The sequence below is a fragment of the Homo sapiens genome, chromosome 5 (assembly GCF_000001405.40).
Source record: "Homo sapiens chromosome 5, GRCh38.p14 Primary Assembly".
Taxonomy (NCBI): Eukaryota; Metazoa; Chordata; class Mammalia; order Primates; family Hominidae; genus Homo; species Homo sapiens.
The window spans coordinates 165,447,785-165,468,411 of NC_000005.10; the positions used below are offsets into that span (position 1 = coordinate 165,447,785).

The window sequence follows — 20,627 nt, forward strand, 5'->3', positions numbered from 1 at the left end:
AAAGGTTGATATTATAATCATTTGCTATATTTATCAACTGAATTAGAGTTACTAGTTTTAGAATGAAATGGAATTGAATAGGTTAAATTAAAAAAAAAGTACTTTGGCCATGTCATTAATAGTCACTTTGCAAAGACAAAATAAAAAGAATGAATTCCATGTAGAATCAAAATATAGTATATGGGGCCCACAGATGTAGCTAGTCCACATGACACTCCACACAGAAAAAACAAACAAACATATAAAACAGAGCAATACAGAACAAGCAAACAAAAAGACATAGGAGATAGTCTGAAGAATGACAGAATACAATGCATAAATGAATGCTATTCAGAAGAATACTTCAAAAAAGATGAAATGCAAGAATAATTATGTTAGGCGATTTGTTAAATCTTACTTTTTATGGAAATTCTTTCCATGTCATTCTCCTAGCAGACTAGGCTATGCTGTCCTCCAAAGCAAAGAACATTGCCATGGAAGATAATGTTGCATGGTGGTTAGGAGCATGAGCTTTGGTGGCTAAACAATAACACCACCAACAAAAGCTGTATTTAAACTCTGTCTATACAATTTGCTATCTGTGGAAACTTTAACAAGATAATCATCAACACAGTAACTCCTTTTCCAAAAGAAAGAACCAGGGGGACAGATATTTTAAAGCTAGAAAAGAACTTGAGACAATCAACAGTTAAGAAAATATTAGATAATATTGGAAATATAGGAGAAAATACTTTCAACCTATACATATGGTAAGAGATTACTACCCAAAATATATAAGGAACTCATGCAGCTCTATAGTAAAATAACAATCTGATTTTTTTAAATATGCAAAGGACTTGAATAGACATTTTATCAAAGAAGGCATACAAAGGTGCAACAGGCAAATGAAAAGGAGTTCAACACCACTAGTTATCGGGGAAATGCAAATCACAATAACCGTGAGATTTTACCTTATACCTGTTAGAATGGCTACTATCAAAAAGAAAAAAGATAACAGGGGTTGGCAAGAATGTAGAAAAAAGGGAAGCCTTGTGCACTGTTGGTGATAATATAAGCTGATACAGACATTATCAAAAACAGTATGAAGGTTCCTCAAAAAATTGAAAATAGAACAACCATATGATTTAGCATTCCTGTATCTGGGCATCTATCCAAAGGAAATGAAGTGAGAATTCTCCAAGACCTATCTGATATCCGCAGTCCCATGTTCATTGCAGTATTATTCACCAAAGCCAAGATACAGAAACAAACTAAATGCCTCTCAGTGGATGAATGAATGAAGAAAATGTTTATATACACAATGCAATATTTTTCAATCTTAGAAAAGGACATCCTGCCATTTGAGACAACATGGACAAAACTGGAGGACATCATGCTAAATTAAATAAGCCACACACAAAAAGGCAAATACAGCATCCTTTATATATGAATTTAAAATAGCCAAACTTACAGAATCAGAGAGTAGAATAATCGTTGCCAGGGACTGGAGGAGGAGGAAAGGGGGAGATGTTGGTCAAGGGATACAAAGTTTTAGTCACGCAAGATGGGTAAGTTCTGGGGATCTAATGTACAGCATGGTGACTATTGTTAGCCACACATGAAATACTTGAAAATGAGTAGATTATAAGTGCTCTTTTTTTTTTTTTTTTTTTTTTTTCTGAGACGGAGTCTTGCTCTGTTGCCAGGCTGGAGTGCAGTGGCACGATCTTGGCTCACTGTAACCTCCACCTCCCAGGTTCAAGTGATTCCCTTGCCTCAGCGTCCCGCGTAGCTGGGACTACAGGCGTGCGCCACCACGCCCAGCTAATTTTTTGTATTTTAGTAGAAACAGGGTTTCACACTTAAGTGTTCTTAACACATACACACACACACACACACACACACACACACGTAACTATGTGAAGTATTGGGTAAGTTAATTAGCTTAATGTGATGATCATGTCATAATGTATACATATGTTAAAACATCAAGTTGTACACCTTAAATACAGTCATGTGCTGCCTGATGATATTTTATACAATGACAGATCACCTATATGATGGCAATATCATAAGCTTTTTAAAGCAAACCTCTGCTTTATTTCTGCATGTGTTTCCCATTGCTCTCTGCTCTTCCTTATGCGTCTACATTGAAGTGGGAAAAGTTTCTCAAATAAAAGAAGGTATAATATCAAAAGAAATGTATAACATGGTGAGAACAACCGCAGACAAAAAAGCAGTAAAGTGCTGGGCATCTTTCTACACATAATTAGTGTTATATAAATATATGTATATATGTATAATCACATATATTTATGTGATTATACATATATTTGTTATTTATACATATATTTATGTTATTTATACATATACACATACATATTCATGTCTATGTCTGCATATCTCTATCTGTCTATCTATCTATATCTATTAGGACACACATACCATATTAGGCTATTGCCAAGTATATATAGAATCCTAAATGGGGTAAACCAGTCATTTACAATTATCATCTCAGTGTGTTTCTTTTGAATACCCTTCATATCTATTTGCTTCAAGAGAGAACTCAAGTTTAAATGGGAACAGATGCCAGTGATTAAACTAAATTCAAAGTTTGGGGTCCTCTGATCCTCAAATATCAATACCTGCTTCATACTTCAGTGATGTTTGTTGGAACATCAATATGCAGGAAAGCACACTATAAATGGTGAAGCAGCATTTTACCTTGCTCTATGGCGAAGTCCCAAATATATTGGCCTTGTTTTTGTCACATCAGACATTTGTGCCAAAACACGAAGTCTATTAAAGATATTTGCCGTATCCATAGAGTGATTTGAACCCTTTTAAAATTTGCTCATCGCTAACCTAATGCATAATAAGCATCCGATTAAAATCATTTTAGAATTGGCATATAAAAGATGTCGCCATTACAGCCATGTTTTCAGGAGTGAGAAAAATTCCTGCTGAAGCTACAGCTGGAAAATAATTTGCTGAAAAATCGGCTGAAGCGGGAGGTTCCAGCTCATTGAAACTCAATTTATTATATGCTTAAATGACTCCTGGAACAGTGGAATATGTAGGCAGTACAACTAGACAAGGCAAATTCTGTGCTGATAACAAATGTGTAAAACTCCAATACCTATTGGAGAAGTGATAGCAGCCAAAATCCTATACTTGCCAACTAGTAGAAAATGTGAACACGCTGTTAGATAATTAACATTTTTCTTATTATGCAGGACTGGGTAGTGAACATGTAACTCAACTTTTTCCCCCCTGGATACGTTGCAACTTGAAAAAGCATATGATCAAAGCAAAGCACAGTTTTCTGAGAAAGCTTGGGAATATATGCTGTAAAGTTGTGATCTATTAGCCTGTGGCTTGAGTGTTTGGGCAGCTATTTAACATCCTGATTCCCATTTGCTGAATATACAGGTGACTACAGCTCTACGGTAACAGATCTATAATCTCTCAGGGAGAGGTATCTGGGACTTCAGTTAATAAGGTGGTAGCTTAGACATTTTATCTTGCACAGTTCTATTAAATTTGAACTTAATAGTAGTGAAGCACTTGCTATGCTGATGTTGAAACCTACTTGCTCTGTCTTACTATTGTCTATGTGTAGATAACACTGGAATCGAAATTCTTAAAGCTATTTAACTTAATGTAGATTTCAAAATGGCCAATAATAATAATTAATAATAGTGTGACATTTTGAGCACTTATATGCTTTTAAATAAAATATTTTGTAAAAGTTGATTTGATTTTCTAGTATTTTATGTAAAATGGAATTTAGTTCCTGATGATGGCCAAACAATGAGAAAGTGATATGATCCAATGCTTTCCAGATGTAACACATGGAGTAAGCATTTAACACACATATTTCATATGTGGATAATTGAGAATATATTTGCAAACAGGAATTTTAGTTTACCTTTCTCTTTACCCAGAAGATACGTTATTTTGAAAATAATTATCTGATTAAGAAAGGTAGCCTTATAATACAGCTTTGTTTAGTCATTGCCCAAAAGTTTGGCACAGACTAACTTTCAAATTGCAAATTGGTGTGTTTAGTAAACATTTCTTGGAATTAGTTAAACTTGCACTTATTTTCTTTTCATCAGTTTATCAAGACAGAAAGGCCTCAATGGTCTTTATTCTCCCTTTCTGCCTGTCTCTCACTCTCTCTCTCTCTCACACACACACACAAACATACTTTTTTTTTCTTTTTTCGCTAAACTTAAACATATAGCCAAGAAAATCATCACGATGACTAACTAGCCACCATGGCCCTAAACACAGCCATTGATACCATCAGTTGCTTTTTATGATGATAGTGATGATTAGAATTTGACTTCACTTAAACTTTTTGAAGGTGAAGATCAGAATGTTTAGTAGCTAGACAAACATATAAACCACAGGCTAGTAAACTGTAATTCCACAATTTATCATACAGAATGACTCTTTTTAAAAATGTTTGCTCAGAAAACTGTTTTATCGTGATCACCATCTTTGTCATCTCCTCTTCCTATTTATAACTTATTTTGCATCTACCATACACCTGATCCTCTACCAAGAGTTTCCTGTACATAATTTTATGCTCAATATAGCTCCTACCATCCCATGAACCTACCTTCCTTTCCCGGAGTCCTTCAGCTTCCCTGGACTTTTAAAAGTTCCTCAGTTTCTCATCCTCTCACTTAATTCTGAGGTTGCTATACCCTCAGTAAGTATTGTTCTCTTCTATATCACCTGCTATTTCCTCGATAGGCTGTCATGTTTTGGCCTTTAATTTTATATAATTACGGAAACATCTCCTACATCCATTGACAAATTTAGATTCCCTAAACTTCTTTTTGTAATTATTTACATGATCATTTATGTAATGCACGTTTCCTCCATAGTAATGAAGCTCTGTAAGGGTAGGAACTCTCTAACTTAGGCAACTTATATACCGCCTTTGCCCAGAATAATATCAAATACATAGCTGAATATTATCTTAAATATGTAAACCATTTCATTTATTCACCATGTTTAATTCTCCCAACTCCCTATCTGGTATGATTATGTTTAGTTAACAGACAGGAAGTAAAGTTAGACAAGTTAAATAAATAAATAATTTCTGAGTAGTAAGACAAGGATTCTGTCGTCAATTTTTTGGCTCTAAATTCCAGGATTTTTAGCCTTAGATTATGTTTACTGAATATCTGCTAAGGCATTTATTCACCTAACATCAAGTGTCAGACCCCATGCTAAAGGTGAAATTCAAAGATGGCTAAGACTTCATCTTTGCCTTCAAGTAGTGTAGATTGTAATGGATCAAATGAAAAAGCTTAAACATTTCCTATGGGAAAATAGTCCAAATTTTGATTGAAATTTCAAATACATTTTTCCTTCCCACACAGATGATGAAGTTCATCTTCAGGGAATTTCTAGAAAATGAAGCCATTAAAAACTTGATACCAGAGATGGTATCAATTTTGATCCTAAATGAGAAAAATGCAAGATGTGTAAAAAAGAGGATTGTTGTCACAATAACTTATAATTAGGAAGGTGACACCTTCCTCTTTCATAATAATGACCAGAGACAAGAATTTGTCAATTCAACAATGCTAAGTAAATTTGAAATTAGATTCTAAAATTTGGAAGTTATTGTAAAGTTGTGTGTTTTATAATATATGTGAGCAATATATATGTAGCATAAAAATTACATATTTTATAATATATATTCGCTAAAATAAGGTATGTCTTGTTACCATTTTGTAGCATCTCATATCAATAATAATAAAAGATACTAATAAGTGATTACTGATATTTCTCTTTAATTGGCATTTTGTCTTCATATTCCAAATTGTTTTATTTGTTTGAAAAAAATGGGGCCCGGCATGGTAGCCAAGGCCTGTAATCTCAATGCCTTTGCAGGCCAAAACAGGAGGACCACTTGCAGCCAGGAATACAAGACCAGCCTGAGCAAAATAGTGAGATACCCATCTCAACAAAAAAATTTAAAAATTAGCTGGGTATGGTGGCACATGCCTGTAGTACCAGCTACTTGGGAGGCTGAGGCAGGAGGATCACTTGAGCCCAAGAGTTTAAGGCTGTAGTGGGTCAGGCTGCAGTGAGCCATCTATCTTACCACTACACTCCAGCCTGGGGAACAGAGTGAGACCCTGTGTCTAAAAAAAGGGGGTAAGGTGGTGAAAAGTAGAGAAAAATGGGAAATGGGCCACAAAAATATTAAGTTTGTGAATAAGTTTTGAGATTCATGATTTATGTGTGAGTTCAGTCTAATTTTTAGAATGCCCAACTTACACTCTGTTTCCTCTCAAAATTACAGCAAAACTCCAGAAATATCCACAATCTATGCTTAAAAAATTATGAAATATGACTTAATATTCTTCTTTAACATGAAAAAGATGGTTACAGTAAAAATGAAATGCCCTCTTTACCCTCTGTCACTACGGAGTTCACCTTCCTTCACAGGGGTTAGATTTATTTTCTTGTGTATTTTTGCAGGGCTTTTTTTCACAGTGCATTTACAGAAATACAGAATATATAGTTTAGGGTTTTGTGTGTGGGTGTGTGTGAATCTGTGTATGGTTTTACATAAATGTTCTTGAATAATAGGTTTGTACTTTTGTTTCAGTTTAAATTATCTCTTGGAGAAATTCCTTTTTATATATCATATATATATTACTTTATATATTATACACTATATGTAATTATCTATAATACATACTATATATATTGCAAACTTGCAGATAGATTTTATTACATCTCTTTCAAGCTCATGGATACTAGCTTGCATTACAGACAATAATTTATTAAAGCATTAGCAGGGAATGGTGGCTCACGCCTGTAATCCCAACACTTTGGGAGGCCCAAGTGGGACGGTCCCTTGAGCCCTGGAGTCAGAGACCAGCTTAGGCCAGGTAGTGAGACCCCCACACAACCAAAAAATATATATACATAGAGAGAGGGAAAATTAGCCTGGCATGGTGGTGTGCACCTGTCATCCCAGCTTACTTGGGAGGCTGAGATGAGAGGATCACTTGTGCCCAGGAGGTTGAGACTGCACCAAGCCATCATTGTGTCACTCTACTCCAGACCGGGTGACAGAGAGAGACCTTGTATTAAAAAAAAATTAAAAATAAACACAAATTAAAGTTTTATTCTATTGATAGAATTTACTATATTTCCTTTTCATATAGATAATAAGAATGGTGAACATCTTTGTACTTGCCTAGAGTATAAGTATTTCTCTATAAGAAATCTAGAAGCAGAATTGCTGAGTAAAGAGAATGTGCTTTCAAACTTTTGATAGATACTTAAAAATTGGGTTTCAAGTATACGTGAGAGTTGATTTCTTTATGCCTGAGTCAACATTAGGTATTTTCACTCATTCAGATATTCCATTGTTTTAATTTGCATTTTTCCAATCATTTATACTTGTTAGCCATTTGAATTATTTCTCCTTTGATAAATTTGATGTTCATTTTTTAATATTTTTATGAGATCAATTGTCTTTATTCTATTGAATCCTAGTTCCTCATATATTCTGGATATGCATATATATATATAAGAGAGACAGGGATTATGTATGTTTATGAGACAGGTAAAGGGAAATGTTGCAAATATTTTATTTTATACGCTTACTTTCATTAAGGTTGATGGCACCTTGCTCAGTGGAAGGCTGGTAAATTTACAGTAATAATATTATTTGTCAGATATTGAATGTTACAAAGATAATAGATACTGAACTATGTTCTTACATCTATCTATATTTTTAATTAAACTCTTTCAGATAGGAATTTATATTTACACTTTACAATCATGAAAACTGAGGCTTGGTGGAATGATATGATTTACCTAAAGTCAAATATTAGAAAGTAAAAGAGTCAGAATTTCAATCAGGGTGTGCTGGCTCTCCTCATTCCACTATGCAACTGATATCTACGTAGCTCATGATGTTATCTATATCTTACAGCTACATATATGTTATACATAGCTATTGTTATAGCTGTATTATCTACACCTATATCTATGAATTCATTATGTCTTAATAATTTAGGTTTCTCCTAAATTAGTTTTTACCTGTTTGGTGTTACGTTAAATTATGTGTCTTTGAAAATTTTAAGTTAGTGTAGAAAATGCTGTATTTCACTACAATTAAAGTGTACTATTGTAGTACCAACCAGTTTCCATTAGAAAGTAGACTGTTTAAGTTGCAGTTATGCTTAAGGCAAAACAAGTAGGTAGGTGTGGCTTTGTTTCATCTTTCTATACTTCCCATTGTGAACAGTACTTCTCTTAAGCTCACACTATTCCTCCAGCCTAAAACCTCCCTACTTTCCCTCAGAATTCATATGAATCCCTCCAACCTCCTCCCCCTTATACCACACCATGATAGAGTAGGCTCTCACATACACCTGCTTTCGAGGGCCTAACATTACAATCCTAGACTTGTATAACTTTAGAAACCTGCCAGAAAATGAATGTAAAAGCCAGAGAACTATCAGGCTTGGCTGTTTAGGGTAACTCGATATTGTGAGCCTTTCAAAAGAGGCCAGTGGTAAAGAGTGGCAATGGTGGGCTTCAGAGTTGTTCAGGCCATGATTTCATTTATTTTTATTTTTTTAACTTTGATTTTAGGTTCGGGGTACACATGCAGGTTTGTTACATAGGTAAATTGCATGTCAGGGGGGTTTGGTGTACAAATTATTTTGTCACTCTGGTAATAAGCATAGTACCCAATAGGTAGTTTTTCAGTCCCCTCCCACCCTTCACCCTCAGGTAGGCCCCAGTGTCTGTTGTTCCTTTCTTTGGGTCCATGTGTTCTCACTGTTTAGCTTCCAAATATAAGGGAGAACATGTGGTATTTGGTTTTCTGTAATAACCAGTTAGCAACATGATGACAGGATCAAAACCACACAGGCCATGATTTTGGACACATAACCATATAACCTCTCTTCTCCTGTCCTCTCATCTGTAAAAATAAAGATTGTCATAATTAATTTTAGTATTTAAGGAAATAGTTTGATATTGCAGGGATAGAGAAGACTACAGTCAACATTGATGATGATGATTATTATATAGATAGTTTGAAAAAAGTTACAGAAATCTTGACTGTCTTTTTTCCTCCCAACCCATGTCTTCCCTCCTTGAACTTGGTTCCATATAACCATTTTCTTGGCCTCAGCTTACACATCTTTTCATCAAGAAGTTCTACGCAGGCCTTTCACGCTGTCTCTCAATTCCTGGATGCACTGTACATTTCATTTCATTGAACATGCTACATTAAAATTATTTATTTACTATCCGAATCCTTCTCTAGACTTTAAGTTCCATGAGGGCAGGGACTTTGGCAGTTTTTGTTATTGTTGTTGCTTTCTTGCTATATCCCTCATCATGCAAGCACACTATGCAAATTTTGTTAAATTTAAAAACGAATACAGGCATAAATAGATGTGCTGAGGCATAAATGGATGTATGTCTGAATGAGTGGACAGTGAATGAATAAATGGTTACACGATTGGAAACATGAGTGAATGGATAGGCAATCAACTTAGCACAGAGACTTAGAAATGATTGCAATGTCAGTTACAATGATATGAAGTGGAGAATATATTTTTGGATTGGCCTTTGAAATCCTTTAAACCATACCAAATGGCATTCTTTCATATGATTCTGACCCTGACTGCTTCAGTGAGAGAAAATTCAACCAAGTTGGCAATATAGTGAATTTTACTTGGCATGTGGCAAACAGAGTCTAGGGAATAAATAATATGTCACACTAGGCCTGCATTTTCCTCTCAATACCTTAGGAAAACACTTTTATAAACACAGTTCTACCTCTACCTGCTACTTTCACTTAGCATAAAGGTTAAAATATGAGATGTTTCACTTCATATATTGCACATTTCATTATTCTACATTATAAACTCAGTGAATTCTTTGGAGGTGATTTATTATGCAATTTAATTTGATATTGAAAATCCTCCCAAAAACAATCTACAAACTTGCAAAGAATTTTAAGTAATACATCTTGTTTAATGTGTGTGCTGATTTACCCAGACCATTGAAATAAAGTTTGTTTCATTTACCCAGACCATTGAAATAAAGGCATTTGATTGTTAGAAAAACTGTAAATAGTCCACAGTGTTTGGTATATTTCCGGATATTAAAACTTATTAAAACTATTGTTCAGCATGACTTGACACCACTGAGATTTGACAATGGGCCATATCTACATCAGAATAGCTCTGTGGATACAAGAGCAAAGGGAAATGTTATCCACCACAGCTGTTGTGCTGACCCCTACTGGCTAAGTTTAAGAAGAGTGAAAGAACAACTTTTTTCCTAAAGTGGACCTTTCCTGGATTAATTACTCACATCCAATCTTCATTACGTTTCATCTGTCATTCATCAGTAATAATTCCCTGTACAACACGGTTGAATGCATGTGAGCTTGTCAGCCTCATTTTGTATAATTAATGATGATTGGACATACGAATTTTAACAATTTTGAGACGTGTCTACTGACTGAGAATAATTTTTCTAACCTGCTCTGTTTCTATTGAAACAATGTCTTATGTTTCTCTCAAGAGAAGCTTCAAAATTATGTATATATCCAGCAGGCACATGTAAGTATATGTGTCTGAGAGTCATATGTCCTGCAGATATAAAGCACTAAACCTGAAAATACACAAAAAGAAAAACCCTTTCTCAACCAAAGTACAACAGGACAGATTTTATATTATTTATTTTTAAAAGTAAGCCATGTTCAAATTAAATGTCAAGCATAATTTTGTATTTGAAATTTGAAATTTGTGATTATCCTTAGAGAAAAATCATAGAACACATGTCTTCTTGCCAAATTTGTATTTGCATAATAGTGAACTATGAGGTTATAGATCACTTTGTGGCAGAGTGCCAACCCATAAACTGCTTGGTAAAGCTACTAAAAACTTCAATCTGAAATGAATTTATTTCAGTTAGGAGTTTGAATCCTCTATAGAAAATAAAATGCACTGGAGTCTCTTAGTTCTTAAAAAAGAAAAGACGGAGAGAAAATACGAAATTCTGTGTATTTCCACATTTCTTCCTTTAACTGCTACAGACATAAATGCAAAATGAATGTTGACATATTTGTTTAGCATCCCTGAACAGATTAAACTGCTTTAGAAGTTCTTCTGTAATCAGGCTTGAAAAATAGAAACTAACATTCACATCCTTGGATAGATTAAATTGTTTCCAAAGTTTCTCATTAATCAGACACGAAAAATTGTTTGTAAACGTAGAAGTAGGTCCTTTGAAAAGTACTCAAAATTTTTCTTGCGACAAAATTTTTGCAATTTCACTATATAATGCTATTTTTGTCGTATACGTATTAGAAATATGTATACCTGTATCACTTGTCTGTGTCCTTTATTGGCGAGTTGCTAAATAGCAAAAGATTTTGATCCATTGTGGAGTACAGTGTGTGTATAAAAAGAACACTGGGTCTGAATTGTGAAGCTGACTGCCAATTACTTATGATGTGTCTTTGGGCAAAGAAAATAGAAAGAAAATATAATTTTTTTAAAGTTTGGACTTCTTTCCAAGTGAATTCCAAGTACTTGAGTGTTCTTCTTCATAATAAGTCTGTAAGTTTAACAGTGCAGCACACATTTTAGGAATGAGGAAACTAAATCCTGGAGATATTAATGGACTTGTGTGATTCAGTATAGCTAGTAAGTAGTGCAGTTAACATTATATATTAGAACTATCTCACACCAAACTTCCTGTCCCTCTTAGGCTATGATGTCTTTCTTATCCTGCTTTTCTCCTTTGTTAAAAGAAGGAATTGGGCTATATTATCATTATTTTTATATTTTCTATAGCTCTCGTGTACATGGGTCTGTGTTTGGGGATTTTTGTTTGTTTGTTTGGGTTTTTTTTTTTTCTTTTCTTTGACAAGGTCTTGCTCTGTTGCCTAGGCTGGAGTGCAGTGGCGCAATCATGGCTCACTACAGCCTGGAACTCCTGGGCTCAAGTGATCTTTTGCCTCAGTATTCTGAATAGCTGGGACTGCATGCTCATGCCATCATACCTGGCTAGTTTTTTCTTTTTCATTTTTCTTATGTAGAAACAGTCTCACTATGTTGACAAGGCTGGCTTTGAACTCCTGGCCTCAAGCAATCCTGCCATCTTGGCCTCCCAAAATGCTGGAATTACAGGCATGAGCCACCACGCTGAGCCTATGATTCGATTCAGTCTCCCGTTTCCAAATAAAGGCATATTACCTGAGTATTATATAATACACAGAATTCATTGTGTCACTTTCACTTCATCTTCCATTCAAATTCTCTAAATTCTTGCTGAGCAGGCTCTGACAGATGGGATAAGGAATGATTCCTCTATTGTAGAAACTGATAGTATTCCAGTAGTGTGAGCTCTTGACTTTATTTCCATCACTCAGCCAATGAATATCAATGATTCTTGAACTTTGCTATATACCATGGCAGGCAATAAAGACATATGCACCACCAGATTTTTATTTGACTTGATAAACTTACGCTGTACATTTCAAGATATTTTACAGTGACCACCAGTAGTTCCCTTAAAAGTCCTGTCATTCACGTATTATTCTTTCTAAAATGGTATGACATTGAGTTGTTTCAATTGCCAAATAGTAATTAGGAAAGAATATAGTCTCTCACTTTCAGGGAATTTTTTAAATGAAAAATGCATGTAAATAATTTTAATTTCTATTTGCTTTTCCTCACATGCCAAAAATTATTAGATTTATCTTAGGCATTTAGAAAGGCTTATAGTGTGCGTTTCAATATGAATTTAATATGGCATAAGCAAAACTCTGAGCTTTATTTCAAAAAGAGAAATGTATTAAAGAGCAGCTGGAATAGTCAAATAAGAGGTGAAACTATTAAGTCAAATGTCTCATGACAGAAACAATGCCAAAAATATTAATATGGACAGATTTTAATTTTAACTATGATGGAGCAATTGGAATGTCTTACCTGCATAAACACTGTAAACCTGGACAAAATCTATGCAGACAGTATACTCAGATATGGAATAATAGGCAGCTTATGAAGGAGATCCTTAAGAAGTGTGAAATGCACAAGACGTATTCAACTTTCATGGCTGCTTTTTAGGTGGAGAAAGTTTCCAAATAAACAGAAACCAAGGATCCCATCGACTAGAGAAAATAGAAATCAAAATTTGGGGCCATTGAGGGTGTTAGAATCTGTAGGACAGTATAGTGGAGACAAGAAATCCATTCAGAGAAAAAATCTTAAAAATTGGCATAAGGTTACACTTAAGTCTTTAGCCAGTGACTCATGTGCACGTGAAACACTACAAGACAGGACGGAGAACAGCTACTGAAGGTCTGTGAACTGAAAATAATAAACAAATAAATAAATATGCATTGCTGGAAGACATTGGTTTTCAGACTATCGAGACTGGAAAAAAGCCTTTCTAAACTCACCAAGGATTCAGTCTATTCTATAGGAAGGTCAAACCTCACCAGTAAGTCTAGTTTAAACTCAGTCTAAAAAGGCTTAAAGTCACTCTTCAACAGGATAAATCTGTACAACTCAGTAACTGTTAAAGAAATAAAACATAATTTATACTCTGAAAATATAGTATCCACAAGATTGAGACTATCACTATAATAACTATACTGCACTCCCCCAAAAGAAAAGATGAACCATCATTATGAGAAAAAGTAGTCAGTGGAAATAGTCTCAGACATCCTGTGTATGTTAGAATGACCTGCCAAGAACTTTAAAACAGCTATTATTAAAATGTTCAATGTTATAATGAAAAAGTATACAAAATAAATGACCAATGGAGAAGCTCAACAGATAAATGAAAAATACAAAACAGTACCAAATAACCATTCAACAACCAAGAATTAAAATATCTAAAATGAAAATTTTTCTGTGCAGCGCCAGTCAAGATTAGATAGTGCACAAGAAATAATTCAGTAAGCTTAAAGACAGATCAGAAGACATGAAATATACATAAGAACAGAAAGGAAAAATACTAGAAAATAGATGTATGCATCTGTGAATTATAGGAAAAACAATTATGCTATCTACTGTGTATGTAATTGAAGAAGCAGAAAGAAAATAGGGATCTTCCAAATCTGGTAAAATATACAATACAGTCCCAAAAAGCATATTGTATACTATGAAAAAAAGAGAATAAATAAGACCTACTATTTGATAGCACAGTAGTGTAACTATAGTCAATAATAACCTAATTGTATATTTTAAATAAGTTAAAGAATGTAACTGGATTGTTTGGAACTCAAAGAATAAATGCCTGGGGGGAGGGCTCTCCCATTCCCTATGATGTGCTTATTTCACATTGCATGCCTACATCAAAACATCTCATGCACCCCATAGATATATACACCTACTATGTACCCACAGAAATTTTAAAAAATAATAAATGTTTTTTTTTAAAAAGGAAATCTAACTCTGGTCAAATTTTCAAAAATCAAAGACAATGAGGAAATATTAAAAGCAGACAGAGAATAAAAGGAAGATTTTATATATAGGAGAAAAATTAAAATACTAATATTTGACTTCTTATTAGATACATCATAAATCAGAAGGCAATGGAATGACCATTTTAAAGGATCAAAGAGAAAAAAGCCACATAGAAATCTCAACCTATGGGCCATAGCCTTTAAAAATACAGTAAAACAAAGACTTCATATAAACTAAAGGTAAGAAAATTTAAGACAACAGTATTAAGAAATTGTTAAGCTTCTTCATCATTCCTCAAGTTGAGTAAAATGATATGAGAAGAAACTGCAGGTCTACTTGAAAGGATAAAAAACACAGGAAACCATAAATATGTGGATAAGAAAAAAGGCTTATTTTTAAAAATTATACCTGTCCGAATGGCAAGCGTTTTTGATTTAAAACGTTATGTAAAATAAACATATATGTCAATAGTATCCTGAAGAACTGGATGGCGACAAATGGAAGTATACTGCTCTGCTGTATATAAAAACATAAAAGTTAAACACTAAAGCTTCTAAATCAAAACACTAGGGGGGCAGTATTTCTTATGAAAAAATAAACAATGGATGATTAAAAAAATACATAAACTTAATTTCTGCCTCACGATGATGTATGGGGCAGAAGTTAAAATTATTTCTTATTAATTAAGAAAATTAAAAAGCAAGCCAGAACTGGCAGAAAATATTATTGAAACATATATGTGAAAAACTTCTGTCTAGAATATAGGACTAACTCTTACAATTTAATTGTAAGTAGAGAAGCAACTCATCTCTGTGTGTTTTTTTTTCCATGTGCAAAATATTTGAACAGAAACTTTAAAAAGATAGATATAAAAATGGCAGCTAAGCACATGATAGCGTGCCCAACTTCATTAATCATCAGAGAAATGCAAATTAAAACCACATGGAGATAGCATTAAACACCCTTTAGGGTGGATTATATTAAAAGATTGACCACACCAAGTGTTTGAGAGAATGTGGACAACTGAAACTAATGGAGATTTACAATAATATAACCAATCAAAATGGAAGATGGTATAGTCACTTTGGCAAACATTTAGTCATTTTCCTATCAGTTTAAATATATGCTCACCATTGACCCAGCCATTGCATTCTTAGATATTTTTTTCAAAAAGAAACAAAAACATATCTCTACATGAATTGTACATAAATTAAATACATAACTTGTATGTGAATAGTAATATCAGATGTATTCTTACTAACCCAAGCTGGAAAATAGTAACTACACATAGTAACATGAAAAAATAAATTCTATATTACTCTAATGGAATACAGTACAATAGTGATTACTTAGTTATTACAATGTGTAAAAATATGATGTTCTTACAAACATAAATTGAGTGAAAGACATATATTTCTTCCTTGTATAAACTGTATGATTACACTTATTCTAAACTGCCTATGGTGTGAGAAGTCAGGAGGCTGGTTATCTTTCTAAGGGACAGTTACACATGGGCCATTGTGGCATTTCTGGAGTTCCAATAATATGGGGATTAATTATTAGGTGCTTTATTTACTTTGTAAAATATTAATTGTGCTGTAAACCTATGATGTTTTGCTCTTTTTTTGCCTTGATGTTATTTTCAAAAACTTGCACTGAAAAGTTAAACAATTACAGAAAGAGAACAGAGATGGTCATATGAGCTTGAAGTAAAACTGAGATTTAATCTGGCTTTGGAAAGCTGATTAGAATTACACTACTCCACATATTTTTACACCACTTGCCATAATTTTGCATACGACATCTAATACAATGCTTGGAAAATTGTAGGCATGCAATGAATCTTGTTTGAATATGAAATTCTAAGGGAATGAGTGCGTGACTACCATACATAAAACGAAGAGCATGGATTGGATCATCATGGCCAACGGGAGGCAGGACTAGATTGCCAATCTGACTTGGATGGACAGAGCAGCGGTGCAGAGGAGCGCATCGTGGATTTTACCTCCAGGTCAACTGCAAGAACGAACCAGGAATCCCAGGAAGAACCACAGACCCTCTGAAGGAAGTGGACTGCTCATGCAGAACCCTGGAAACACCCCAAATACTGTGAATGCCCCAACTGCGGAAGTGGGAAACAGAGATCCTCCTCTCCCGAACACACATCCCCACTGGGGAAGCTGAAGCTCCGTTTGGGAAAGAAGTTTCGACCTTACCTGGAGGTGATTCAATCTAGAGAGCAGAGCGAAATACAGGAGTGGAGAACGCAGCGGGAAAACCCTGGAAGCTCTCTATGTCCCCAAGCAGGCCATTCCTGCCTGGCACCACAGGGATCCTTCTGGAGGATGGCCAGAGGAGCAGAGAAAAACGCCATAGGGAGAGGAGGAAATCTCTAGCTGAACTTTGTAGCAATTTGAACTGGGTGAGAAGCCTCCTTACCAGAACTCAGAGGAGTGCACGAATCCAGTGTGCAGTCTTCACAGGTGGGGGAAGAACCTAGGCGGGTAGCCTGGGGCAAGTTCTCAAGCCTGGCTTGCCTACCGCCTGGAAACAAACTCCGAGCTGTTGGAGCGGGGGGCATGGTGGGAGTGAGACTGGCTCTTTAGTTTACGTGGGAGCTGGGTGAGGCCTATGACTGCCAGGTTTCCCCCACTTCCCTGACAACCTGCATGACTCAGCAGAGGCAGTCATAATCCACCTAGATACACAACTCCATTGGCCTGGGAACCTTATCCCCATCTCCCACAGCAGCCACAGCAAGACCCACCCAAGGAAAGTCTGAGCTCAGACACGCCTAGCCCTGCCTCCACCTCATGGGCCTTCCCCTATCCACCCTGGTAGCTGAAGACAAAGGGCATATAATCTTGGGATTTCTAGGGCCCTGCCCACCACCAGTTCCTCTTCATATTACCACAGCCGGTGCTCTCTGGAAAGCGCCACTTCCTGATAGGAGACCAACCAGCATAAAATTAGTGCATTAAATCACCAAAGCTAAGAACACTCACAGAGTCCATTTCACCCCCTGCCACCTCCACTGGAACAGGTGCTGGTATCCATGGCTGAGAGACCTATAGATGGTTCACATCACAGGACTCTATGCAGACAACCCCCAGTACCAGCTTGGGGCTGGATAGACTTGCTGGGTGGCTAGACCCAGAAGAGATATAACAATCACTGCAGCTCGGCTCACAGGAAGCCACATCCATAGGGAAAGGGGGAGAGTACTGCATCAAGGGAACACCCTGTGGGACAAAAGAATCTGAAAAATAGCCTTCAGCCCTAGGCCTTCCCTCTGACAGAGGCTGCCCAAATGAGAAGGAATAAGAAAACCAGCTCTAGTAATATGACAAAACAAGGCTCTTTAGCACCCCCCAAAAATCACACTAGTTCACTAGCAATGGATCCGAACCAAGAAGAAATCCCTGATTTACCTGAAAAAGAATTCAGGAGGTTAGTTACTAAGCTAATCAGGGAGACACTAGAGAAGGGTGAAGCCCAATGCAAGGAAATCCAAAAAATGATGCAAGAAGTGAGGGGAGAAATATTCAAGAAAATAGATAGCTTAAAGAAAAAAAAATTAAAAATTCAGGAAACATTGGACACACTTAAAGGAATGCAAAATGCAGCCGGGCATGGTGGCTCACGCCTGTAATCCGAGCACTTTGTGAGGCTGAGGTAGGTGGATCATGAGGTCAGGAGTTTGAGACCAGCCTGACCAACATAGTGAAACCCCGTCTCTACTAAAAATACAAAAAATTAGCCAGGCGTGGTGGCGGGCACCTGTAATCCCAGCTACTCGGGAGGCTGAGGTAGGAGAATTGCTTGAACCTAGGAGGCAGAGGTTGCAGTGAGCCAAGATTGCGTCATTGCACTCCAGCCTGGGCGACAGTGCGAGACTCCATCTCAAAAAGAAAAAAAAAGGAAATGCAAAATGCTCTGGAAAGTCTCAGCAATAGGCTTTAACAAATCGAAGAAAGAAATTCAGAGCTTGAAGACAAGGTCTTCAAGTTAACCCAATCCGACAAAGACAAAAAAAAAATAAGAAAATATGAACAAAGCCTCCAAGAAACCTGCGATTATGTTACTTGACCAAAACTAAGAATAATCAGTGTTCCTGAGGAAGAAGAGAAATCTAAAATTTGGAAAACATATTTTGGGGAATAACTGAGGAAAACTTCCCCAGCCTTGCTAGAGACTTAGACATCCAAATACAAGAAGCACAAAGAACACCTGGGAAATTCATCACAAAAAGATCATCACCTAGGCACGTTGTCATCAAGTTATCTAAAGACAAGACGAAGGAAAGAATCTTTAGAGCTGTGAGACAAAAGCACCAGGTAACCCATAAGGAAAACCTATCAGATTGACATTAGATTTCTCAGCAGAAACCCTACAAGCTAGAAGGGATTGGGGCCCTATCTTCAGCCTCCTCAAACAAAACAATTATCAGTCAATGATTTTGTATCCAGGCTGGGTGCGGTGGCTCACACTTGTAATCCTAGCACTTTGGAAGGCTGAGACAGGCAGATCACGAGGTCAAAAGTTTGAGACCAGCCTGGCCAACACAGTGAAACCCCATCTGTACCAAAAATATAAAACTTAGCTGGGCATGGTGGTGGGCACCTATAATCCCAGCTATGTGGAGGCTGAGGCAGGAGAATAACTTGATCCCAGGAGGCAGAGGTTGCAGTGAGCAGAGATTGTGCCCCTGCACTCCAGCCTGGATGACAGAGCGAGACTCCATCTCAAAAAAAAAAAAAAAAAAAAAAAAAAAGGTTTCTGTATCCAGTGAAACTAAGCATCATATATGAAGGAAAGATGCAGTCCTTTTCTGCCAAACAAGTGCTGAGAGAATTCACCCCTACCAAGCCACCACTACAACAACTCCTAAAAGAAGCTCTAAATCTTGAAACAAATCCTGGAAACACATCAAAACAGAATCTCTTTAAAGCATAAATCACATAGAAACTATAAAAGAAAAATACAAGTTAAAAGGAAAAACAAACAAAGAAAACAAGGTACACAGGTAACAAATAGCAGTATGAATGCAAGGGTACCTCACCTCTCAATACTAATATTGAATGTAAATGGCCTAAATGCTCCACTTAAAAAATACAGAATTGCAGAATGAATAAGAACTCACCAACCAATTCTCTGCTGCCTTCAGGAGAAGGACTGACATAAGGATATAAAAACCCACATAAAGTAAAGGGGTGGAAAAAGGCATTTCATGCAAATGGACACCAAAAGCAAGCAGGGGTAGCTATTCTTATAGCAGACAAAACAAACTTTAATGCAGCAACAGTTAAAAGCGACAAAAAGGGTCACCATATAATGGTAAAAGACCTTGTCCAACAGGAAAATATCACAATTCTAAACATACATGCACCTAACACTGGAGCTCCCAAATTTATAAAACAGTTACTAATGACCTAAGAAATGAGATAGACAGCAACACAATAATAGTGAGGGACTTCAGTACTCCACTGATACTGCTAAACCGATCATCAAGATGGAAAGTCAACAAAGAAACAATGGATTTAAGCTATACATTGGAACAAATGGACTTAACAGATGTATACAGGACATTTCATCCAACAACCAGAGAATACACATTCTATTCAACAGCGCATGGAACTTTCTGCAAGGCAGACCACATTATAGGCCACAAAACGAGCCTCAATAAATTTAATAAAATTGAAATTATATCAAGCACTCTCTCAGACCACAGTGGAATAAAACTGGAAATCAACTCTATTTCATCCAACAACCAGAGAATACACATTCTATTCAACAATGCATGGAACTTTCTGCAAGATAGACCATAAGATAGGCCACAAAATGAGCCTCAATAAATTTAAGAAAATTGAAATTATATAAAGCACTCTCAGACCACAGTGGAATAAAACTGGAAATCAACTCCAAAAGGAAAACCATGCAAATACATGGAAATAAAGTAACCTGCTCCTGAATGAGCATTGAGTCATAAATGAAATCAAGATGGAAATTAAAAAATTCTTCGAACTCAACAACAATAATGACACAACCCATCAAAACCTCTGGGATACAGCAAAGGTGGGGCTAAGAAGAAAGTTCATAGCCCTCAACACCTACATCAAAAAGAATGAAAGAGCACAAACTGACAAT

At 36.0% G+C, this 20,627-nt stretch overlaps 2 annotated features.

Annotated features, from left to right (window-relative positions):
* Window positions 16,552–17,751: an enhancer, noted in NCBI's record as "CDK7 strongly-dependent group 2 enhancer chr5:164891341-164892540 (GRCh37/hg19 assembly coordinates)". NCBI's record gives its function as "activates an origin of replication core promoter dependent on BRD2, BRD4, P300/CBP, MED14 and CDK7 cofactors, with strong dependence on CDK7, by STARR-seq in HCT116 cells {active_cell/tissue: HCT116}" and the evidence as "EXISTENCE:reporter gene assay evidence [ECO:0000049][PMID:35650434]".
* Window positions 16,674–17,175: an enhancer, noted in NCBI's record as "H3K27ac hESC enhancer chr5:164891463-164891964 (GRCh37/hg19 assembly coordinates)". NCBI's record gives its function as "activates a minimal SCP1, AML or CMV promoter by ChIP-STARR-seq in primed H9 embryonic stem cells {active_cell/tissue: H9 hESC(primed)}" and the evidence as "EXISTENCE:reporter gene assay evidence [ECO:0000049][PMID:30033119]".